The sequence below is a fragment of the Homo sapiens genome, chromosome 3 (assembly GCF_000001405.40).
Source record: "Homo sapiens chromosome 3, GRCh38.p14 Primary Assembly".
NCBI classification, from domain to species: Eukaryota; Metazoa; Chordata; class Mammalia; order Primates; family Hominidae; genus Homo; species Homo sapiens.
Genome location: NC_000003.12, coordinates 140,678,039 through 140,701,699, shown reverse-complemented (window position 1 = coordinate 140,701,699; position 23,661 = coordinate 140,678,039). Strand labels below are relative to the sequence as shown.

General features: G+C 41.7%; 1 protein-coding gene across 2 annotated transcripts, besides 1 other annotated feature; it reads right to left on the bottom strand.

Moving 5' to 3' along the window:
* Positions 1-549: 549 nt before the first annotated feature.
* TRIM42 (tripartite motif containing 42) lies at positions 550-23,636 on the bottom strand. Of its 2 annotated transcripts, none has more exons than NM_152616.5 (5): positions 23,130-23,636; positions 18,541-19,238; positions 13,158-13,978; positions 10,508-10,732; positions 550-812 (listed from the first exon to the last, which is right to left on the bottom strand). In NM_152616.5, the coding sequence occupies exons 1-5, from the start codon at positions 23,468-23,470 to the stop codon at positions 726-728; spliced, it is 2,172 nt and encodes a 723-aa protein (NP_689829.3). In that variant the 5' UTR covers positions 23,471-23,636; the 3' UTR covers positions 550-725. The 2 variants fall into 2 exon arrangements, with proteins under 2 accessions (NP_689829.3, XP_011511042.1); XM_011512740.4 differs by lacking the exon at positions 550-812 and adding an exon at positions 958-1,284.
* Positions 18,373-18,873: an enhancer, noted in NCBI's record as "H3K4me1 hESC enhancer chr3:140401669-140402169 (GRCh37/hg19 assembly coordinates)". NCBI's record gives its function as "activates a minimal SCP1, AML or CMV promoter by ChIP-STARR-seq in primed H9 embryonic stem cells {active_cell/tissue: H9 hESC(primed)}" and the evidence as "EXISTENCE:reporter gene assay evidence [ECO:0000049][PMID:30033119]".
* Positions 23,637-23,661: the final 25 nt, after the last annotated feature.

The window sequence follows — 23,661 nt, the reverse complement described above, 5'->3', positions numbered from 1 at the left end:
ATATTGTCTGAAAGGCCAAGCTAAGTTCAGTGAGGTTGGAGCTGATACATGATTTTGTCATTCTTCCATGCCTTGCTTCAAATGACCATAGAGGATCCTCTAACCAGGCATTCTACCGTTCTTCCTTTGCTATGTCCAGAAGGAGAAGAGGGAGGGCTCTCATTCTTTATGGCTTAGAGGTAGACCTCAGACCATGGGCTGAAAGTTGTGAAAAGGCAAATTCAAGTTCAATAATTAGGAAAAACATTTTAATGTTGGCTCCTTAAAATAGACTACATGGTGAGGTAATGAATTCCGTGGCAATCAGCGACTTGCCCAAGCATTCAAAGCTAGTTAGGCCAGCATTAGAATGCACACCTACGGGGTCCCGACTGCAAAATACAGTGTTCTTTTTACCACCTAGAAGCTGGGTGTTGCTCCTACAAAACACCACAGAATTCTGAGCCTAGGACTAGACCTGAGCAGCTGGAAATATACAGACTTGCTGAGTGCCTTGCTTATTACTGTCATCATAACAAATAGTTGTCATTGAACAAACAGCAAGCCATGTCAGGTATTTCCTTTTATTAGCTCTTACAAGATTCCTGTTGGAAAGCTGAGAGGTCATGGAAACATTTGTCTACAACCTCCTTGAAGAATGTGGTGAGAAAAATATACATACATATATGTGTGTGTATATGTCTACTTTGTGATGAGTCTGAGGTTGTTTCCTGCTCTGAAGGGGCTCAGAAGTGCTTCTGGAGGGCAGACTGGATATTCTTCAGCAGGCCCCACTTAGCTCGGTTCTTCCCATGTCCATCTGGTGTTACCACCTGCAATCAGAAGCGAAGAGTCATGACACCCAATAGACAACAGCTCCCAGTAGCCTGGGCCCTTCTGCATGTCAGACACTACACACATCATTTCATTAACTCCTCACGACCACCACAGTGGCTGTTGGTGCCACTTTATAGATGAAGAAGCTGAGGCTCAGAAGGACCAGGAAGGTTTCCCAAAGCCCCACAGCTATAGTGTCCTGGGATTGTGATTCCATAGGCCAGATCCTACTTCCCTTTAGGGTAGCTCATGTGACTAAGTGCTGATGACAGTGATGGGGCTGGACCGCAGGTGAGCTTCACCATAGAGGATCCTCTGTATCCTTCCTCAGCCATTAGAACTTGGTTCTGTCACAGCTTTTATCAGTTGTTAAGTTTCAGCTAATGCATTTGACTTTCTTACCAGACCATGAGCACCTTGATTGGGGTGTGGGGGAAATGATAGTCTTTCATCTCTGTGGTCCCAACACTAGTTATGGAAAAGAGAAGATTCTTAGAGAAGTATATGAACAGTGAATAGAACTATAATATAATATAATTTGTAAATCTGCCAGTTGTTTTCCTTTGATGCTAGCAGAAACACTTCATACTATCTTTAATTACAGTGAATGGCCAGTGCTACCTGAAAAAGAAAGACTGTACTGGGCACGAGGGGTAAGAAGAACCCTCCTAGAAATCTCACCAAGTTAGCTTAGATGTTGCCCTCCATGCCTTACCTTGAAGATACTGGGTTTCTTCACTACTGTGGTCTGGCAGCATTCCCATTCCTTCCCCCCAAATAAATATTTATGGAGTGAGGTCGAGACCCAGGGATGAAAGACAGTCCACTGGATCAATGGGCTCTGCTGAGGTGAATGAGGACTTGAGATAGAATGGGGGTGGGGTTTGTATGGTGAAGAGGAATGTTTATACAGGGCACAAAGTCTCTATGTACAAAGCTTTTAACCTTCTATATTTGTATATAAAGGGAAAGGGCAAAAACAAAGAAGCCAGACCCTTATTAGCATTATGCTCTCTACTTTTACAAAATTTTTGGTTTTAGAGAAGACAGGGCTGCATGCAAGGCAAAGGTCATATTATATACATGATATTAGATTATCCATTGCTGAGTAGAAATGGAAATAATGCATAGAGATAACCCTGATAAAAGTAGTATAAATAATGTCCAAGATACACACAGAGTTATCAGAGGGCATGAGGAAGATGGAACGGTGTTACGAGGTGTTAGGAATTAACTCATAAATAGGAGATTGAGTTTTTGCTTTAAAATATAGTCAGAATCTTCAAAGATAAAGACTGTATGTGATATGTGAATGGAGCAGTGAGGATTGAGGTGTGTCTATGAAAAAAGGGAATCAGGTAGAAAGAAGGACAGAAGAAACAGAAAAACAAAACTTGGAATATTAAAGAAATTGAAATGATAGTTGACATCTCTTCCCTGCCCCAAATGCCCCAGGCTCATATTGCTTTCCAGATGAATTCTACCAAACTCTTAAGAGTTATTCTAGAAAATAGAAGAGCAAAAAGTTTCCCAGCTCTTTTTATGAAGGTTGTGAAATATTGATTCCAGAACCAGATAAAAACAATATAAGCAAAAAATTGAGCCCAATTCCCTTATAATTATAGATGCAATAAACCAAAATAAAATACGAGCTAACTGAAGTAAACTGTATTAAAAAGTAATACATCATGAACACACAGGATTTATTCCATGAATGGAAGTGGAATTTAGTATCAGAAAAATCAGTCAATGTAATTCACTTCATTAATAATGGCCTGAAGGAGAAAAATCATGTAATTACCTCAAATAATGCAAAAAATTTAATAAGTACCTATTTCTCAGAAACCTAGAAGTAATTTTCCTTAACTTAATAAGGATTATATACCATAAAAACTAAATAAAAAATAACTCAATGGAGAAACGTTAATATCAGGAATAAGACAAGGATATCTACTAACACTGCCACAATTTTATGTATGACTCAAGGTTCTGGCCAAAGCCATAAGGAAAGAAAAAAGAAATAGAATTGTGAGAATTGTAAGTAAACAGATAAAACCATCATTCTTTATAGGAGATAGGATCATATGCCTGGGAAAACAAGCAGAAATAGCAGATTGGGTCTCAGAATAGTAAGGAGAGTTTCTGACATTGCTGGAATCAAGATTACCCTACAAACAGAAATAGTCTTTATTCTAAACCAGTAATCTATTAGAAAATATAATAAAATAACTTTCATAATATCAACAGTCTGTAAACTATTTGGTTTATTTATTTATGGTATGCAACATGATGTTTTGACATATGTATACAAAGTAAAATAATTACTACAGGCAGGCAAATTAGCATACCCACCATCTCACAGTTATCTTTTTTTGTGTGTGTGAAAAGAACACCTAAAATCTTAACAAATTTTCTATCAATACAATATTATTAACTGTAGCCCTCATGCTGTACGTTAGATCTCTAAATGATCTAGTTTAACCAGGAATATGTGCACCTATGTAGGAAAACTTAAACACCCCAGTAAAGAACATAGACTATGGTTTGAGTAAATGTTCAAACATATTACAAAAATACCATTTGTTTCCAAATTAATTTAGAAACACAATGCCTTCTGAATAAATTCTATCTGAATGTTTTCTAAGAATTCAAGTTACTCCAAAATGTATATGAAGAAATAAATTTCTATGATTAGCTAAATAATTTCTGAAAAAGAAAGAAGGATAATGGGCATACTTACCGTAGCAGTTCATAAAGACATGGCAGAAAGCTGAGGTTCAAAAATAATAAAACAAGTATGGTATTGATATAAGAGCAGAAATATAGACCCATGGCATGTAATAGAGTCCTCAGAGACATACCCCTAAATATATGGAAACTGAATATAAAAGTGGCATTTCTGGCCAGGCGCGGTGGCTCATGCCTGTAATCCCAGCACTTTGGGAGGCTGAGGCCGGCAGATCACGAGGTCAGGAGATAGAGACCATACTGGCTAACACGGTGAAATCCCGTGTCTACTAAAAATACAAAAATTTAGCCGGGCGTGGTGGCGGGCGCCTGTAGTCCCAGCTACTAGGGAGGCTGAGGCAGGAGAATGGCGTGAACCCAGGAGGCGGAGCTTGCAGTGAGCCGAGATCGCGCCACTGCACTCCAGCCTGGGCGACAGAGCGAGACTCCGTCTCAAAACAAAACAAAAAATAAACAAACAAATAAACAAAAAAACCAAAAGTGGCATTTCCATTGTATAAATATGAATAATAGATATTTCTTGGTAGATGGTATTGGGAAAACTGGTTCACTACATGGTGAAAAAGAACATCCCTACCTAGGACTACATAGGCAGAGTACATACATACATTTGATACATACAAAGGCAGAGTCTGGATGGATTAAAGAGCTAAATTTGAAAGGTGAAACTGTAAATTTAATAAAAGAATATATAGAAGGTTATCTTTGTGATCTAATCCTAAGAAAAGACTTTTTAAATAAAACTTCAAAAGGTTAAGCTATAAAGAAAAAATAATTGATGATTTTGATTATATCAAAATTAAGTATTTCTGCTATTTTATGAAGTACACTATGAACAAAGCTGATAGGCAAATGTCAGAAGAGAAGATAATACCAATGTCTAAAACCATTACCTAGAATATATAAGGACATCCTGCAAATCACCTAGAAAAAGAAAAATGCAATAGAAAAATGGGCGAAGGATATCAACAGGTTCTTTACAGAAGAAGAAATCCTGAAAACTAACAAAAATATAAAATGAAATTTAAAATAATAAGGACATATCATTTTATGCCTATTGGGCTAGCAAAATAATAGAAAACTGGATCTTGCTAAATGTAGGTGGGGCTTAGGGTATAGTGGCTCTAATCTATTCCTTATGGAAGTGTACATGGATGTGGTCAAATTAAGTACCCACATGTCAATGGCCTAGAAATTTCACTCATATGTATCTAATATGGGGCGAATTGCACCTGACCCCAAATTTATATGTCAAAGCCCTAACCCCCAGTACTTAGAGTGTGATTATATTTGGAGATAGGGCCTTTGAAGAGGTGATTTAATTAAAATGAGGACCCTAATCCAACCTAACCGGTGTCTTTATAAGAAGAGGAAATTTAAACACAGAGAGGTATCACAATGCATGTGCACAAAGGAAGGACTATGTGAGGAGACAGTGAGAAGGTGACCATCTGTAAACCAAGGAGAGAGGTCTCAGGAGAAACCAACCCTGCCAACATTTTGATTGCAGACTTCCAGCCTCAAGAACTGTGCAAAAACTAATTTCTGTTTAAGCCACCCAGTCTGTGGCATTTTCTTATGGAAGCCTTAGCAAACTAATCAATAACCCAGAGAACGCTTACACACCTATGGTGTCCATAAGGTGACATATATAAGGCTGTTCACTGCAGTATTATTGGAGGTCACCTGGGTGTCCATCCTGCCTGAAATAGACAGGTAACATGTGGTGAACAAATGCACATTCTGAAAGATCAGGTGTTATCAGGAGTAAAAGACAAAATGCCCATAACAACATAGATGGATCATAAAAACACAGCATTTAAGAAAAAAAGGTAAGAAACAAAGTAAGATATGTAACACAATGCTAATTGTGTAAATTAATAACACATTGAAAACAACAATGCAAATCATGGAAGAACACATAAAAACAAAAAGATACACATAAAACATATTAGAATGGATGTCACAAAAGGGAATATATAAATAAGAATAGGGCTTTGTATAGATCAGTGCTAATGATGGACCATGACTGAGGTGTATAATTAATTCAGACCTCTGTACATGAGGTTAAAAAGAAATCAGGTCCAGCATGATCCGAAATTATACTTGTTCCAGGATTCAAGCCTATCTACAGGGCAAGCAAAGGAAGGACCAACAGGGTTCTGCTTACATGAAAGGTCACGAGCTCTTTAGAAAAGAATAAATCCTAAGGAGATAAAGAATGCAAACCATCTTGGTTTCATTTTAGGGCACGGAGTCACTGTGAGTGTGTGGGTGGCTGTGGGGTAGGCTTGGGGTAGTTATTTTGAGTGTGAAATAGTGGTGGTCATTCAGATTGAATGACCTCCAACCCTAACCTTTGAAAGTGTGTGGCTCCAACCCTAATCTTTGAAGGTGTGTGGCTCAGCCTGAGAGTCTGCAGCAGGAAGAGGAAAAATCAGGAAGGGAATTTCATGATGGCCAGGCAGTCCTGCTGTGTGGCTGGGGTTTCAGCAGGAGCACAGGCCGAATAGGAAGACAGCAGCACTGCAGAGACTCAGGGCAGCTGGCAGGACTACTTCCTCAGCCCCATCAGACACCGAGGATGACTCTCAGTGCAGACTGAGAAGGGCTTTGAGAGGATGGTTGGGGACAGGGGTTGCTGCATTTCCTGAAGAGCTAACAGGGAAAGACCCAGAAAATTACCAATTTGTAACTATTGTTGGGCTTGAATTTTTACCTCCAAGTCTGATGTAACCTAGGACATCCACTTTACAGATTGTGGTAGACAGAATAATGGACCCCAGAGATGTCCATGTCCCAATCCCAGAACCTTTGAATATGTTAGGTTACACACATAGCAAAGGGGAATTAAGGTTGCTAGTCAGCTGGTCTTTTTTTATTTTTTTGACATGGAGTCTCACTCTGTCACCCAGGCTGGAGTGCAGTGGCTTGATCTTGGCCCACTGCAACCTCTGCCTCCCAGACTTAAGCGAGTCTCGTGCCTCAGCCTCCCAAGTAGCTGGGATGACAAGCGCACACCACCACACCCAGCTGACTTTTTTTTAATTTTTAGTAGAGACAGGATTTTGCCATGTTGCCCAGTCTGGTCTCAAACTCCTGGCTTCAAGAGATTCTCCTCCCTCAGCCTCCCAAAGTGGTGGGATTACAGGTGTGAGCCACTGCACCTGGCCCAGCTGGTCTTCAGGTAGGGAGACTAGCCTGAATTATCAGGTGGGCTCAAAGCAGTCACAAGGGACCTTCAAGGTGGAAGATGGAGGTGGAACAGAACCAGAGAGATGCTAGTGTGAAAACTCAGCCCAATGTTGCTGGCTTTGAAGATTCAGGAAGGGGCATGAGGCAAGGAATGCGGGTGGCTTCTAGAAGCTGGAAAAAGCAAGGAAATGTATTCTCCCTCAGGCCCTTCAGAAGGAATGCAATATGGCTGACACAGATTTTACCCAGTGAGACCCATTTGGACTTCTTCAGAATTGTAAGGAAATAAATAATTTGTATTATTTAAACTACTAATTTGTTACAACAACAATAGGAAACTAATACACAGATAGGCAGTTAGATTTGTCATGGGAAGCTTTCATGGAAGTCAGCTGAGATATAAAGTCAGAGGGAGACAGTGAGTCAAAGTAAGGAGACTGTTTTCAGAAATGGGTATGATGGTCAACAGATATATTGAGGACCAGAGGAAGAGCAGGGGAAGAAACTGAGGTCAACACGTACATGACTTACCTAAAAACACATTTCTCTACCCTTCAAAAATATTAATTAGGCTCTTTGATGTTAGAAGCTTTCAGCTAGGGACCATGGGCACAGAAGGGTGTGTAAGACCAACACCTATCCTCATGGACCTGAGCCTAGTGGAGTTGGGACTTGAATCCAGGTACACAAGACCAAATACAATGCTCTTTTCAATGCGTAATCTTGACTTTCAAAAAATAAAAGTTCAGCTCTCCCTGCTGTTGGCTTTGACATCATTCTCCCAGAGTAAAGTACTATGTCCCCAGGGCTGAGCCTACCCTGTTCCAGACTTAGTTCCATTTGAGCATGGTGCAGGGGAACAAAGGACTGTGGGCTTGGATACAGACCAAGGTGTCCACTCAACTCATCCTTCTATGAGGCCTCATTTTTCTTATCTGTAAAATGGAAGACACTTTGCTTCTTACAGCCTCATTTTTCTTATCTGTAAAATGGAAGCAATCACTTCCTCCTTTCCCAGTGGTTGGGATGATTAGTGATAATGAATATACCCCATCTGACATAAAAATGACCTTCAAATGGGACCTTTCAAAATCATTAAAGTTAATTTTCTTGCTGCATGTATTACACACCAAATAAATCTCTTAAAAATCAAGTCCTAGACTATGCAAATAAAATATAAAAGGTGTTATTTCACTTTTTAAAACAAAAATACGTGTGATAGAAATATTGCATTTTGGATAAGAAATGATCCTGCTGCCTCATTGCAACATTTTAAGTGAAACCTTTCAGGAATACCTGCATAGAACTGATGCCAAGGAAAAAATTTTGATTTTATAGGTAAGAAATGAAGTCATTACTTTTATGAAACTTTATAAATGTCATTCAAACACACATCTTATTTTCATTTGGTATTGAAGGCTTTACTTATGCAAATCATGACAAATGTTAAGGAAACCAGTGTTTCCTCTGGAATGCTAATATAACCACAAAGAAGGGAGGAAGAATTACTTCTGAAGGAAAAATCTATATTGCAGCTCCTCAAGTCAGATAAAAATGAAGCTTTCAGAAAACCTCATTAATTAGGGCTCTGCTCATTTAGATATTGTGTTAAAAAGAAAGGGACTGGAATGCATTTCCTTCTCTTACAGGGAGGGCAAATTAATCACATAAACACAATTTCAAGGGAAATGCTATTTTTTGACTGTATAAAACACTTAACAGCTTTCAGGCATCTTACGGTACTTTGTAATTATTAATTTTATCAATTTATTTCTTCACTCTTTAATTTAGACATTCCTTATTTGTTCATTTATTTGGTCACATTTTCACTCATATACTCATTCAATAACTATTAAGAACCAGCTATATGCAAAGTGCTGTGGTAAGCACTGTGGGAGAAAGAACCATGAATTAGATGTGAATTTTATTCTCAAGGAGTCCATAATTTCAGAAGGGCAACAAAAGCCTCTACCTAAGAAAAGCCAAGAGGGACTGAGATGGTAGACTGATGACATACTTTGGTATCTCCACCCGTTCTTTCCCTGGCATCTGAAAATAATAGATTACATATATTTTAGCAACAGTACTGAGTGCCCTTCATGGGCAAGACAGTTTTGAGGAATTCCTAAAAACTGAGAAGGCAGATGAGATTAGATGGAAGGAAAAATCCATAGTCAAGAGACATGCGGATGTGGGGCAGCCACGGGCATTCCATGCTCTGAAGAGAAGGGTATCAAGAATGAGAAGGGCTTTGGGGCAACTGAGCAGCAGTGTAATTGGCTGGAGGCTGGCAGGAGGAGTGGCTAGCAGGCTTCCCCATCTCACATCCTTCCTGTGCCAGGTTTGACCTCTCTCTCTCTCTCTCTCTATCTCTCTCTGTGTGTGTGTGTGTGTGTGTGTGTGTGTGTGTATGTGTATGTGTGTGTGTGTCCATGGGTGCTGGACTCTATGAGGTAAAGCATGTCCCCCTGGGGCTGGCAACCAGGATGAGTGGTCCCACCCTAGGAGATTTGCTATTGGTATACTGACCACCCTTACTCCTGCTTTGCCTTTATTACTAGAGGTAGCAACCACTCGGATTCTTTTCCTCGAACATTTTACTAAGGAAACAGAGTATGGTTGGTCAGATGCTGTTGGGCATTGGAGCTTTAAGGTCACACAGGGGTTGGGCCATGACAATTCAAAACCATATACAAGCTGAATTTAAGGGAGCAGAAACTAAGGGCTAGCCAAAAATGGTGCAGATCCAGAGAGAAGCAAAGAGAATGAGAGAGTGAGAGAGAGAAGGAAGCAGGGAGAGAGGAAGAGAAGAGAAAGAGGGAGAGGGAGAGAAACTGATGACTCTCCAGTTCCCTTGGGTATCAGATCAGATGCATATCCTAGAAGTGGTCTCATGAGACTTCCTGTATCTTTGTCATAAATTTCTCTTTTCAAAAGCTGAAATGAATGGACTTTTTTTTTTTCTTCTTCTTCTAAAGAATTCCTGATTAAGATGTAATCGACCCTGATTCCAAAGAACACCCTTATGGTTATATGGTAAGATAGCAGCTCTAGGCAGTCTTGGTATTTTTATTCTCTTTCTCCTTTTAATATCAATAAAATTATACTCATGAATGTGTATTCCCTGGAGATATAAAGAAGAGTAAGTCTTGGATCACAAAGAAGATAGGAATAACTTTGTCCTTTCTTTTTTGGAAGGCACACTGACCTGCTTAGTGGCAGTTTCTCGACTTTCAGATGAACAATTGTTTTTAGTATAAATAGGTTCTAAATATTGCACTGGACATATTTTATAAAAATTATTGTGTGCCAGAAATTCAAATTTAACTGGGCATCCTGTATTTTCATTAGTTAAATCTGGCACCCCATCCTTGCCTGGGAATAGCACCTCATTTTTATCTTTCTCGTACCACAATTATTTCATGTCCTTCTCACACAACAATTATTTGTTTACTAGACCCTGAGCACCTTGAAGGCAGGGATTATGTTTATTTTCCTCTGAATCTCTACATCTGTACACAATGCCTAGAACAAATGTTTTTGAATCAAATAGAACAATTCTCAGGCGACATCTGCAAAGTCTGGTTGAGGCCAGCAGCCCTCTCTTTGGCCTCAAGTTAACAAATGTTCTGTGCTTAGAGGAAGAGTCCCATAGTGAGTTCTATAATCTCACGATCATCTTAACAGGGCCTCATCCAGAACCTACCATAGAAAAAAAAATCTGTCTGAGAAATAACGCACACAATACCTTGCAGATATCACTCCATTGCCCAGGACCATTATCATTGATGGCTCTAACTTTAAACACGTATTCTGTGTTGGGGGTCAGGTTGTGCAGCTCCAGATTTTGCTGCATTATGTCCCGAATTTGTCCACAGAGCTCCATTTGTACGTTGTTAGGAGGAGAAGTAATGACTTCATAGAATTCCATCTCAAAAGAGTCCACGTCTTCTGCTGGACATGTCCAGTAAACCTATGGAAGAAATGAACATACTGGTGTGGTACTAGTATACATCATTCAGCTTTCTTTCCCTTAAAGATTTGTGATGTTGACTATCTGTGGGGTGAGTTTAAGCTGACCCCATCCCCTGTAGCTACCGAAGACTTTTAATTAGACCATGCACAAGTCTTGGAAGACTGTGTGATGAGGCCTGGCATGATGGTTGTAATGAGTTTCACAAACAGAAGGTTTCCGTTCTGTTACTGTCAGTCGACATGGAGGTGACAATTGTCCTCCTGCTTGAAAAATACCGAAAAATAGAGGGGAAGAAAATAAACATCACTCATAATATCACAATTCAGTTAATTCATTATTATTTCTTTGCAATTTCAGAACACACACACACATACAAACATATATATATATATATATATATATATATATATATATATATATATATATATATATACATAAAAACTTGGATTAAGTAGCTTTGATTTCTATTTTCTTTTACTTATGTTGTATGTTTTCCTAAATCATTAAAAATTCAGTAAACTACCATCTTTGAAATTTCTCCCAAAATAATTTAATCCTTCTATTGTTGAACATTTATGTTGTTTCTAATTTTATACTCTAATAAATAAATGCTGTAATAAATACTGTTGGGCATAAATATTTGTCTGAATTTTTAATAATTTTCTTGGAAGAGATTCCTAGAACTAAAACTGAGTTTAAAAAATCTCTATGATATTAACAATACATATTGAAAAGGTACAACACTAAGTTTCAGAATATTTTCTATGCTAAAATCCTAAAGATTTGAGAGTGATGTTAACATAAACTTAATCTTCTGCATTGCTAAGCACTATGATTCCTGTATGAAGTCCATTCCATTATCCTAAAATATGAATCGATGATATTTTAAAATCAAATATCACTGTCTGGCAGTAGGTTTAGGTGTCCTCTTTCGACAGCAAATGACTTGACTGAGTTGTTTTGCGTAGGTCTCTTTTTTGAGCTCATCAGGGATGACTAATAGGTGGCATGGGGTGACTATTTTCCATGCCCAGGTATAGAGCAGATACTAGCAATCCTCTGACTCCAGAGCAAGATCCTGCCAACTTCTCAAGAGGTCTCAGTTGGTCAAGGAGATGAGACCCAGTGCTATACTTGAGGTAATAAGCATACACGATAGGCCTTGCTGATCTAGTATCAATTGGAAATGTAGTTCAGCTGCTCAGTTATGGGCATTGCTTATGTGAAGGGCAGAAACACTTCATCATGTCGATAGCTCATGGAGTGTTCTAACTTGCAAAGTATGGGTTGTTCTTTGTGTTAATTATAGACAATAAAACATAGATTGTGATGCGTCAGGAGAATGGAAAAGTAAATCTTGGTCTGTATCTGGCCTTCATTTGTTAGATCCTTAATACTAAAGTGTAGTCTGTAGACAGCAGCATTGGCAGTACCTGGAAGTTTGTGAGAACCAGAATCTCAGGCCCCTTTGAAACCTACTAAAATAGAATCTGCATTTTAACAAGATCCCCAGGTGCACATCAATGTTTGAGAACTCAAGGATCTGAAAGTCTTTGGGAGTGTTCTCAGATTATGGGAGACAAAATATGAGCTCTGCCACATGGGAGCAGGCCATGGGTTGACTGTAGGAAAAATCCAAGAGGAGGAAAGAGGCACTCTAATAGAATATTTAGTTGCATGTTAATTTTTTTCCTCCATAAACCTTAATAAAGTGTTCTACAAACAATTCCGTGTGGGTTCAGCTAGATTTGAAAGGTATGTTAAAGAAAAGCCCATTTGTTCATGTTGTCCATGTTAGGTCAAGAGGGTCAAAGGGAAGTCATGTCCCTTGAGGCCAGGCAATGGCACTTACAGAGGTCTGTGACAGACCCCACTCTTCACTCTCTCCCTTCAAGGCGGGTTGAATCTCAGAAGAGTTGAAATTTCATTGGGGATGATCCTCCCAATTTTTCCAAATCATAGAGATTCTGGATATTTGCTTTAGGAAAGGCAGCAATTTAACGGAAACAGCTGATAGGTAATGGAGCCTGCATTTCTAAGTACAATTTCTGTGCTGTCTCTATTACAGGCTTTCCTTTGGGAAACATTACACTGCCAAGTAGTGTCTTCAAATTACTTTGGTTCCCAAATTGGGTTCTCTTTCAGTTGAGAAGCTGCCTTTGCAGTGGAGGTAGGGCTTTCAGATATATTTACGATTATGAGTTAAATATATTGACTGTTTGGTTTAAGCTAATTTTGGGTTACTTAAGATTCCAGGAGCTTATCCCTTTTGAATGGGATGACCACAAAGAGTCTAGAGGAGCAGATATGAGTGACCAGATCCTAGAGGTCAAAGAGGTAAGTGCAACCTTTCCTGACTACTCACTTCTACTCTGTGCCCCACACCCTCCCACTTCCCCACTGGGCCCAGAACCTTTCTTACCTTGGCAGCTCTTGGGTACACCAGAGTCTGGTAGATAACAATTGGGCCTGGGGTCTTCACAGAGCCATCGTTGAATGAGTACCAGTTGTGGAAGCTGCTGCTGTTCTGTACAGACTGGCTGTCTGCTCCAGCACTCCAGTAGGTGTAGAGGCCGTCTGTGGGTTTGGCGGGGGTGGCTGACTGGGCTCTCCCACAGGCCTCCAGACCCACCTTGGCCTTCTTGTCAGTGTTGCTGAAGGACAACATGGAGGAGCTTCGCTGGTATATGTGCTGGTTGCCGAGGCTGTGGGTGCTGAAAGTGACCTTCCTGGCAATCATTGTTTCTGAGTGCACGGGGTAGGGGGAGGGCAGGGAGTCCCCTGAGGAGCGTACCTTCTTGGGCCCTGTGGGGAAGAGCTCATGGATGGCACTGGAAAGCTCAACAAAGTCCAAGGGCACGTAGTTTATTGAGTGCAGCCGGAGCTGTGGGTCAGGCCTGTAGGTGGTCTGGATGCCGTCCTCGATCTGGTCCACCAGGATCTTGGCTGACTGCAGGAATGCCACCTGGCCAGTCTCCTTCAGGGCTTCCTTGGAGTAGGCGATCAGACCATCCATCTCGTTCACTTTCATGGTTGTAACATACACATATTTTTCAATTTCCTTCTGCCTGGACACTTCTAGATTCTCTATCTGCTCCATGATGATCTTCTCTTTCTCCTGAAGAATGCTGCGCAACTTGAGAAAGCCATTTCTGATCTCTTTTCGCTTTGCCTCCTTGTCAGCTTTAAAGCTGTTTTTTAAGATGTTGAATTCCATTAGGTCATTATCAATTTCATATCGGACTGCAAAAATGCCAAGTTAGTTACTTTTAAAATTTTCATCTCCCCAGGTGTCAAAGTCAGTAGCAAACTAGAACAAATTACCCTAGGCTCCAAGGAGGTGAATGAAGAGGGAGGGAAGGCACTTGTAGTTGGGCTGAAACAGGCTGGAATAGGTTTATGAAATGAATTTGGTCCTCCTTAGTACACCCTTCCCCTTCTTCCCCCTCTGATCCTTCTCTGGGATATTTCTATCTTGTAACAGTAATCCCTATGGCCTTGAGTCTGAGACTGGAAGTTCAAGCCCACCCTTGATATTGGTTTTTACCAGATTTCAGTTGTCTGCAAGTTGGACTTGAGAAGAGGTGAAGTCACAAAATGACTGGTGCCTGCTTTTCCCTGTAGGAAACCTAAGCTTTTGCAGTGGTAAGAGGAAGAACTAAGTTTCTGCCGACTACTTCTAAAGGTTGTCTTGCATCATTCGCTAAGCCTCCAGCCCTATACAACAGTGGGAAATCAGCAAAGCTTCCCTTCATTGAGGTGGCTCTCTTAGATGCCCTTTTCCCCCCTTTGTCCCTCTTGTGGTTCAGCTATGTCACTTCTCCTTGCCTTTCCCCCACTCCTTTCAAAAAAGAGTCTGCTGTCACACTTCAAGGAAAACCAGTTTACCCTGTGTCCCCTCATATGGCATTTGGATTTTAAGTTCACTCAGTCATTCAACAAACATTTACTGGAGCCCTGTTACATGCCATGTATCTTTTAGGCACTAAGAATATGGATATGATTATGAGAGGGCATCTGTGCTCAAGGTATGAATAAATCCAAAGATACTACAGTTTAAGGATGCTATGGCAGGGTAAGCACGTGGCACATCTCTATCTGTGAAATGAGCTTTATATGAAAGGTGAAATGAATACCTTTGTTAGCTTTAAAGGATTTGAGGCATTAAGGAGCAATTTGAAGAATGTCACCCTTCTGTGGTCTATGCTACGGGTAAGGTTCTTCTCATGAAAGGTAAACTCTTCAGTGAATTGATGGGCAATAATCCTTACCAAATTTTACTCAGGAGTGGGGATGACTAGCTATTTTTGCACTTGGTTCATAACATTATCCTGGGTTCATAGGAAGCTGGACTTCTGTGAGTGGTGGTCGTTGTAACAAGGGTGTGCACTTGAATATGGGAAACCCTAGTGTTCTGTCAGATCATGAGAACAGGGACCACATTACCACTATGACTATGGTGTGTAGAGGTGAGCAAATGTATTTGTTGAGTAAAAGCCATTCTTTCCTGTCTTCTAACAACTCATTGGTGAATGCCAGCAGTGTCACTCTCTGGCTAACTCCCTGAAGCCCCAGTGTTTTCTTGCCACCTCCTTCCTCACACTGGCTCAGAAAAGATGAGGTGATGCAGGTGAGACTGAAAGGGAAACTACCAGGGTCCGATTTCAGTGCTGAGAAGTGCTTCTTGCCTTCCCCAATGCACTGTGACTGTGGCAGCCAGAATTCTACTTTGCGCATTATTTTCTTTGACTATTCAATAGTTACCTACTGTTAAAGATACTTGGATAGGAAATTTCTTGCTGTATTAGGGATTGATTAGGCTTATGTAGAGCAAAGTCCTGAGAAGCAGGATAAAAATTTCTTAGATGAGAGGAAAAAGGCATCTCCAGGAGGAGAAAAAAGACAGAGGAAGCCACAAATGTCCCACCCCAAACCTCTGCAAATATGAAACCTCTGCAAGAGCTGATTTTAAAGCAAAGTCAAATCAAGGTCTCTTTTAGGCAATACACTTAAAACTAGTTGTTATTTATTAAACACTTTTTATGGACCAGATCCATATGTTTTTATCTATCACATATATCTTCTTACAATGAAGATATTGTTTCCACTTATAGATGAAAAAGCTTGAGGCCCTGGGAAGTTAAGTGACTGTATAGTGTTACACATCAGGTAAATGGGAGAAACTAGGCTCTGTCCCTAATTCTATTTGTCTAGCTCCAAACTAGGTTCTTAATTGCTTCAGCTGTGGCTCTCAGCCCTCTCTGAGTACCAGAATAACCTGAGAGAGTGTTAAAAAAAAACTCTTCTCTTGGACTCATCTGCTAAGATTCTGAATCAATGGGCCTGTGTTGGGGCTCAGGAAGCCAGGTGAGGCAGTTTTCAGTGAGGTTTAGAATCGAACCCAGAGAATCTCCTGGGATCATGATAAAGATGCAGATTCTGATGCACTAGGCCTGGGGTGGGTCCTGAGATTCTGCATTTCTAACAAGCTCTCAGGTGATGCCAATGCTACTGGTCCTTGAACCATACTTTGAGTGGCAGGGACCTAAACTTTTGAGCTCCCTTTATTTCAGTGGTTCTCGACCTTGGCTGCACCATAGAATCACATGAGGAGTTTTTTAAAATTCCATCTTGCTGAGCCTGCACCTCTATGTGGATGGGACAGGGGCATCAGTTTTTAGTAAAGCTTCTAGAATGGATCTTCTCCCTAGGTCCCCCAGTTTCTCAATGTGTATTCCCAGATCACTTGCTTTTGAATAACCTGGAGATCTGTTTAGAATGCCAATTTATGGTACCTCCCAGAAAAGTGAATCAAATGCTCACGAACAAGTTTGAACCCTGGTTAAAAAATTTTTGTGTGTCTGTTTCTTCAGCAAGGATGAAAGGTTAAATTCTTTACTTACAGCTAATATCTAATTTACCAATTATCCCTTTTTCCCTTTCCAACTGCTGGGTTTCCTGGAATTTGGACAGGCATTTTCCCCCCACCTTGAATTGAGCTTTGTTGTCTGCTCAAATTTTAGGTGCCCTGGACTCAGAAAACTATCCTAAGTTTCTCCTGTATTAAGGACGAGGTTCTCTACAGAGGGATGGAAGGCACAGTAGGTTGTAGGCGGCAGTGCCTTCACCATGCTGAGGACCCAAAGAATCCAGCCAAGCCCTGGCCTAGGGAGGCAGTGAGTCCCACCTTCAGAAAACCCTTTTGGAACCAACAGTTCTACCATTTTCTTGGTAATGTGGTTCCTGCAGGGTTCCTTTAATATGAAGTCTTCCCTGGTGGTGGTTCCAAAATTAAATAAATGTCAATTGACAAGCAAGGTTTCCAGGTATGTGGCCATTGAGAAAAATTAAGGTATTCCTGAAGCTACTGAGAGGTCCGGGGTGATGTGGTCATTAGCAAAGCCTGTTTCTGACCCACCTTTACATCCAATGGGACCTTTCTGTGCAGGTCAAGGAAAAGCTGCCTCCCTCCCAAATGTGTAGGCCTATCTGAATGATGGAGACTAACAGATCTGACAAAGAGAAAGGCCTGGGTTGATCTGGTGCACTTTGGTAACTGACTGTAGGCCACTCCTTAAGGAAACAGACCATGGATGGTAGTGGTGGTTCCCCTTCCCTCCCCTTCAATCTCTTCATCTTCAGATTCTGGTCACTGCTTAGCACAAAGTAGATTGTCAAATGAATATTGTGGAATTAATGATAGGCACTGGAGTCAAATAGACTGCATCTGCCACTTATTAGCTCCCTGTCCTAATTTTTTTTTTGAACCACAGTTGTCTTATCCATGGAGGACATTTTAATGCCTGTACTGTAGCATTATTGAGATTAGACAAAATGTGCTCCACAGGCCTGAGTAAAGTGGACCTTTATACAAAGAACTATTCCTGGGGGTAAAGGGCACTAAAGGGATCTTTTGGATTCTCATGTCTGACCAGGTAGAGACATACCCAGAAATTATGGGGCTCTTTGTTGAATCCTGTGAAATATTATTATACTTGGTTTTGTCCCTGAAACCAGAAATTATGGGCTCTTTGCTGAATCCTGTGAAATACTCTTATGCTTGTTTCCATCACTGAAACCATCATTGAAATATTATTTCACTTAAAGCAATATTATATGTAACAATATAAAACAACCAAATCACCATGAACAAGCATGCAGAGGAAAAATAAGCTGTTGACTAGAATGCTATTGGCTAGTTAAGAGTTGTCCCTGTTGTTATATGTTTGCTGCCAGTTTATTTACTTTGGCATCTGCAAGTTTTGGAAAAAATTCATGGAGGGAAATTTAACATTGAGATAATTCTCAGCACTGACTTAATTATCTCCCCCTGCATATTTAGGAAAACCAAAGAGATCCAACAGTGACAGAACATCTTAGAACGTCACAGAACGTCAGTATACTATAGGATCAAAGTCTTCATTTTCCAAAGGAGAAAATGAGACCTGAGGACATGAAGATTATAATCAAGATTATAGAATCTTTATGCACTTGTCATATGACTTTTTGCATGCTTTACATAGAGGAACTCACTTAATCCTCATGGCAACCCAGTGAGGGGGTCACTACTATTCCCGTTTCATAGGTGAGAAAAGCAAGGCACGGGGAAGTTAAGTGGCTGGTGGTGGTTGCCAGGAGCGGACACCAGGATAGTGACTTGCAGGGTAGCACAGTGTTTCCTGGTGCCTTGATTGCTCCACTAGGTGGAATCTGTTAAGGCACTCACTTAACAGATTACCCCACGCCATCTTCCCCATGTGTTCCTGAACTAGAAGTTAGGCTGAAGGAGTGGAAAAGGGGAGGACCTGCTTTGAACTTGGCGATGGCGCTGAAGAGTGAGGCGGCCCTCTCGGAGCAGGCGTCGATGAGGCTAATGGTGTCGTGGCCATTGTGGAAAGAGAACTTGCAGAAGGTGCAGAGCAATTTGTTGTCATTGCGGCAGTACTCGATGATGCGGCTGGATGGGTGGTGGATGCAGATCTTCTCGTCCTGTTCCTCGGCGCTGGTGTCCACAAAGACGTGGTCTTGCATGGCCACATCCGAGTGGAAGGCCTTGAGGCAGTCGTTGCACAGGTTGAGGCGGCAGGTGATGCAGCGCTTGTAAGCGATGCGCTTGTTGCGGCAGACCTGGCAGAGGATGGGCCCGGAGGAGCGGTCAAAGCGCCACTTGAGGTAGCCGTGCTCCTGCATGTAGCGCTTGGTGAGACGCCCGTGCAGGTAGTTCTCGGGCAGCTGCATCTTGTTGCTGTAGGGCATGCAGTGCGAGCGGTCGCACACTGGGCAGATGAGGATGAAGAAGTTCTCGGTGACCTCGGCGTGCTTCTGCAGCTGCCGCAGGCACTTCTCGCACAGGCTGTGGTTGCAGGGCAGCATGAATGAGTGCAGGCGCAGCCGGCTGCACATGGGGCAATTGAGGTGGTTCACCAGGTGACTGTTGGCTGGTATTGACTTTACTTCATCCACCTGGGTATCGCTGCTCCCAGTGCGCAGGGCAGTCTTGGAGCTGAAAGGAGAAGCAAAGGCAGGGTTTCAGGAGGCAGGCTCAAGAGCTTGCTCTGCTTCTCTACCTCTGAAAGAACTCTTGGTTCCTGAGGGGCAGTCTAGTGTGGTGGTGAGGAGCCTGAGCTGGGCGCTAAGGTGCCTGCGTTCTCAATCTGTCTCCACCGTTTTTCAGCGGGGTGACCTCAGGTAAGCCAGTTAACCTCTCGGCCTGTTTCCTTGTTATAAAATTAGTACCTATGTCATAGAGTTTCTTGAGAAGATTAAAATTGAGTTTAATACTTGTACAGTCTAAGAGCAGTCCGTGGTACACAGCCAGTGTGCTGAGACTGCTTGTTGTTATTAAGCAAAGGAAAAGCAGCAGAGACTGGCGTTGTCAGCTAGGCCTTGGTGTTCGGTTGAACATCGGTAATATCAAAACACAATATGAGACAAGGCCACTCTGTGACTTTGATGGATCAAAGCAGAAACAAGACCACTTAATAATGTTTGGACTCCGACAAGAACGTTGTCTAAATCACAAAAATGATCCAACGGCCCCTGACCCTGGTTGATTTTTTTTTTTTAACCAAAAAACCTAGTTGATTTTTTTTTTTTTAACAACTTTTGGGTCACTCTGTTCTTCCTACCTTCTAGATAAGATTTATTAAGATATTCAATAGATTTACTCCCGTGTCCTTACCTAACATGAGCCCAAATCCTGTAATAACTTTTCAAGGTACCTTACACTTTCCCATGCTTTATGTTCTCACTTGTTGCAATGAGTCAATAAATTCAATCTTGTCCAACTACAGGTGTGTTCTCAGTGTTTTTTTTTTCCTGGAGGACATTGACATTATTTATTGTAAATAGATGGAACACAGAGCAAGTCTGTACCTGAGCCAAGCCTAGAACCTGTGTGATCTGCCAACCAGAGCAATAGGTAATGGTAATGGATCTGGGCTTTAGAGGCAGAATGCATGTGATAAAAAATGCACCACTTTACAGTTGTACCTTCTGAGATGTTTTTTTAAACCTCTCTCATGTTCAGTTTTCTCAACTATAAGTCAAAGCTCACAGTACTACTTGCTTTGTGAGGTTTTTATAAAGTCTAAAAGGTAATCCATGTAAGTGCTTAACTGCTGGTACATAGTAAGCATTCAATAAATGTGGCCACTATAATTACACCCCTTTGCTACTAGCCAGCTAATGTCTGCAGTAGAGAGAAATCATAGTATAGGAAAATAGTGGCCAAGTCTGTGAAAAGTATGTGCTTCCACTGTTTCATTTATGTGTGTTAAGGCTCTCCATTTGTCTAATGCCTGAGGCTGATTTCATATATTTAATCGTAAGAGCTATGGCGTAAAAGCATACTTGTAAAATTCAAGTACCTGTTCTAAGAACTTAAAATCAGCAAATGCAGTGTATAAAAATAAATGAAATAGCTGTGGGAATGGAGGTGTAAAAGGCACACAATTTGCTGCTATTGCTATCTCCTCTGTTTGCATAATAATATTTGGATACTAATCTCGACATTGCGGCTGTGTTCCTTTTTGCTTTTGTCTTCTTGCATTCCTTATGTGTCCCTGTCTTCCCTGCTCCCTTGGCCAGGAGCCTATGTCTGAGTCCTGACAGTCACAGGTGCTTCCCAAGTATATTGGAATGGAGTGGCCCTGTGGTGACAGAGAATGCTCCCTGTGTATATTAAGGCACCTGGAAAATTTGTCCCTTAGGGATCTGGGAGCTCTAGGCATGCTGGCCTCGATGTTCTCACCTCTATTTCCTCTCTGCTTTCCCAGATTCCTGCATGGGTCCTGAAGGGATCACCTGGTGGTACAGGTTAATTGTCCATGTAGTGCCTGGATGGACTTTAGTTTGCTTAAAAAAGTAAGGCCTGGAGAATCAAGGTATAATATAAAGAGAGGCTGTTATGAGGCCTTCACAGGAGGTATCTCTACTAGGAAGCTCATGAACTAGCATTTTCACAAAAAAGAAAGAAGAAGTGGGGGAGGGAGGTGTTGGAGGATGAGAAAGAGGTCTCAGGGCTAAGAGACAGGTATTAATGGCCTAGGGAGCTGTGTTAGGGGTGAAAAAGGAAGTGACAAAAAGATTAAGATGGAGAGGGATGAATGAGACCAGAGTGAGGCAGGACAAGTAAGGTGCTGAGCAGAAGGTGGTGATGAGAAGCAGGGGAGGCAGAGGGTCAGAAGCCAGGAGAGAGGCCAGATTGAAGAAAAGCACCCAGAGCCGACCTCCTAACACTTGTGGTAGCATCCCTGCCCATCCTCCAAAAGCCTCAGGCTTGGACGGGGCATTCAGTGGCCATGGTTCCATTTCAAAACAGTCATCAAGCCCAGCGCTTTTATCTTCTTGCTGAGATATCCTGTCTCTGCTCCTCTGCACAGCCCCCTCTGTCTCCCAAAATCAGGCCTGTTCTTGCACCTGGATTCTTACTGTACCACCTATCAAATCTCCTGGCTTCCCTCCTAGCCTCCTGCAGGCCATTCTGCACATTAGAATCACCTGAAGCGGGGTGGGGGGGTTGATTCTAATTAATTCAGATGCTCAGATGGTACCCCAGACCAATAAAATCAATGTTTGGGGGGGTGGGGATCAGGCATCAGTAATTTTAAAAGATCCTCAGGTGACTTCAATGCACAGTAACGTTGGGGAGCTACTGAGCCTAAGGCATTTTCCTAAAGCACCAATTTTATCCCTTTCCTGTTGAAATGGGCTCAGAGGTTCAGTTGCTGTTGCACAACTGAACAACAGGTAGTTGAGAGAGGAGTGTGGACACAATTTTCCATGTTTTAGGATTTCTAGACTTGCATCGAGAATCCCTGGATTTCCTATTTATGCAAACACTATGAGAGGGTCATGGGTGGAGAGCTATGTTTGTTAAGCATCTACTAAATGTTTAATTGCAAGATGGATAATATCTTTCCCCTGAATTCACCAAACCTTTGCTCACAGAATTGCTTTTCCAGGCTTGAAAGCCTTCAAACTGGCCTTCCATTTTTCTGCCTCTTCTAATCCTGTCATCTTATGGTGCTGTCATCTTTCCGCTTCTAAGAAGTGTGCTCTTACTACTTCAGACTCCCCTCATGTGTGACATAAAAAGACTGGTTTGGTAGAGCAGGTGAGGATAATGTAGGACCTGATATGAAGGGTTAGCACTCCAAATGAATAATTGAGACCCTAAGTACTATGACTTCTGGATGGGAAAAAGAAGGTAGTAGGAGTTCATGGATGTATGGGGTATTTATATGGTCCGCAGGGTCAAAAGTGCCCCATAGAAGTTCTTTCTTTTCCATTAAAAGTTACAGGTATTAAGAGTTCATAGGAAGAGAAAGAGCAATTTATATTTTTATATCACATACAGATTACAAAGCACATACATTAATCCTTATATCTACAATATCATGGGGGGGGTATTGTCTCCGTTTTGCAATACAGCATTTTAAAGTTAAGATCCCAAATTTTAGGTTCCAATCCTGACTCTGTATCTTTCCAGCTGTGTGATCCTGGGGCTACTTAACTTCTCAAAGGATCAGTTTCCTCATGGAAACAGTGGACTTAGGGTGAGGGGTTAGCTGGGGTCATGCATGAAGTGCCTGGCAAGTTCCTTAAGCACTAAGTATTAGCTATTACTGTTTTGTACAGATGAGAGAGTTGGGGTTCAGAAGAGTGAAGTGCTCATTTACATAGTTAATGGCGCTTAGATTTGGAGCTCATGGTCTACATACATAGTGACCATTTAGGATACAATTAATTGCTACAAAATTCTTGGCTCCTCCTTTTAGATAAAGAAATGAACTCAGAGGCTCACTGGCCTGCCCTGTAGACTTCACAGCTGGCAAGTGGTCCCTAGTTTTCATGACCCAATGCGGCCCCACATCTGGTGCCTGGCACTTACGAGGTATGGATGCTCCTGAGGCGGCCCTTGTGGAAAGTGATGATGGTATTGCGGCAGCAGCGGCTCTCATAGTAGTAGCAGTTGAGATTGCTGCTGGCTGTGCAGCAGCACTTACAGTTGGGATCATTGGCCCAAGAGCAGCAACACCAATGGCAGTTGGGGCTCTCAGAACAGGTGCAGTGGCAGAACTGGCAGTTCCGCTCATCTTTGTAAGGGCAGGGGAAGCAGGTGCAGTTCCGCTCTGAGGTGAAGATGAACTTGCAGCACAGACAGGAGCATAACTGAGGACAACATCTCTGCCATGTACAACATGGACAGCAAACGCACATAGCAGTTTCCATGGTGCCTACATGATTACCACCGGCCTCCCAGGACTCTTGATGCCTCCTCTACCAGAATACTGCTATCAGTTCTCCAGTGGAGGAGTCCTTCCTCCCATTCCTGAGGCCGTCAGCTTGAAAGTTGCAAGAAGTTGGCTGTTATGAGGACTTCACAGCTGGTGTCCCTACCAGGAAGCTCATAGGCTGGCATT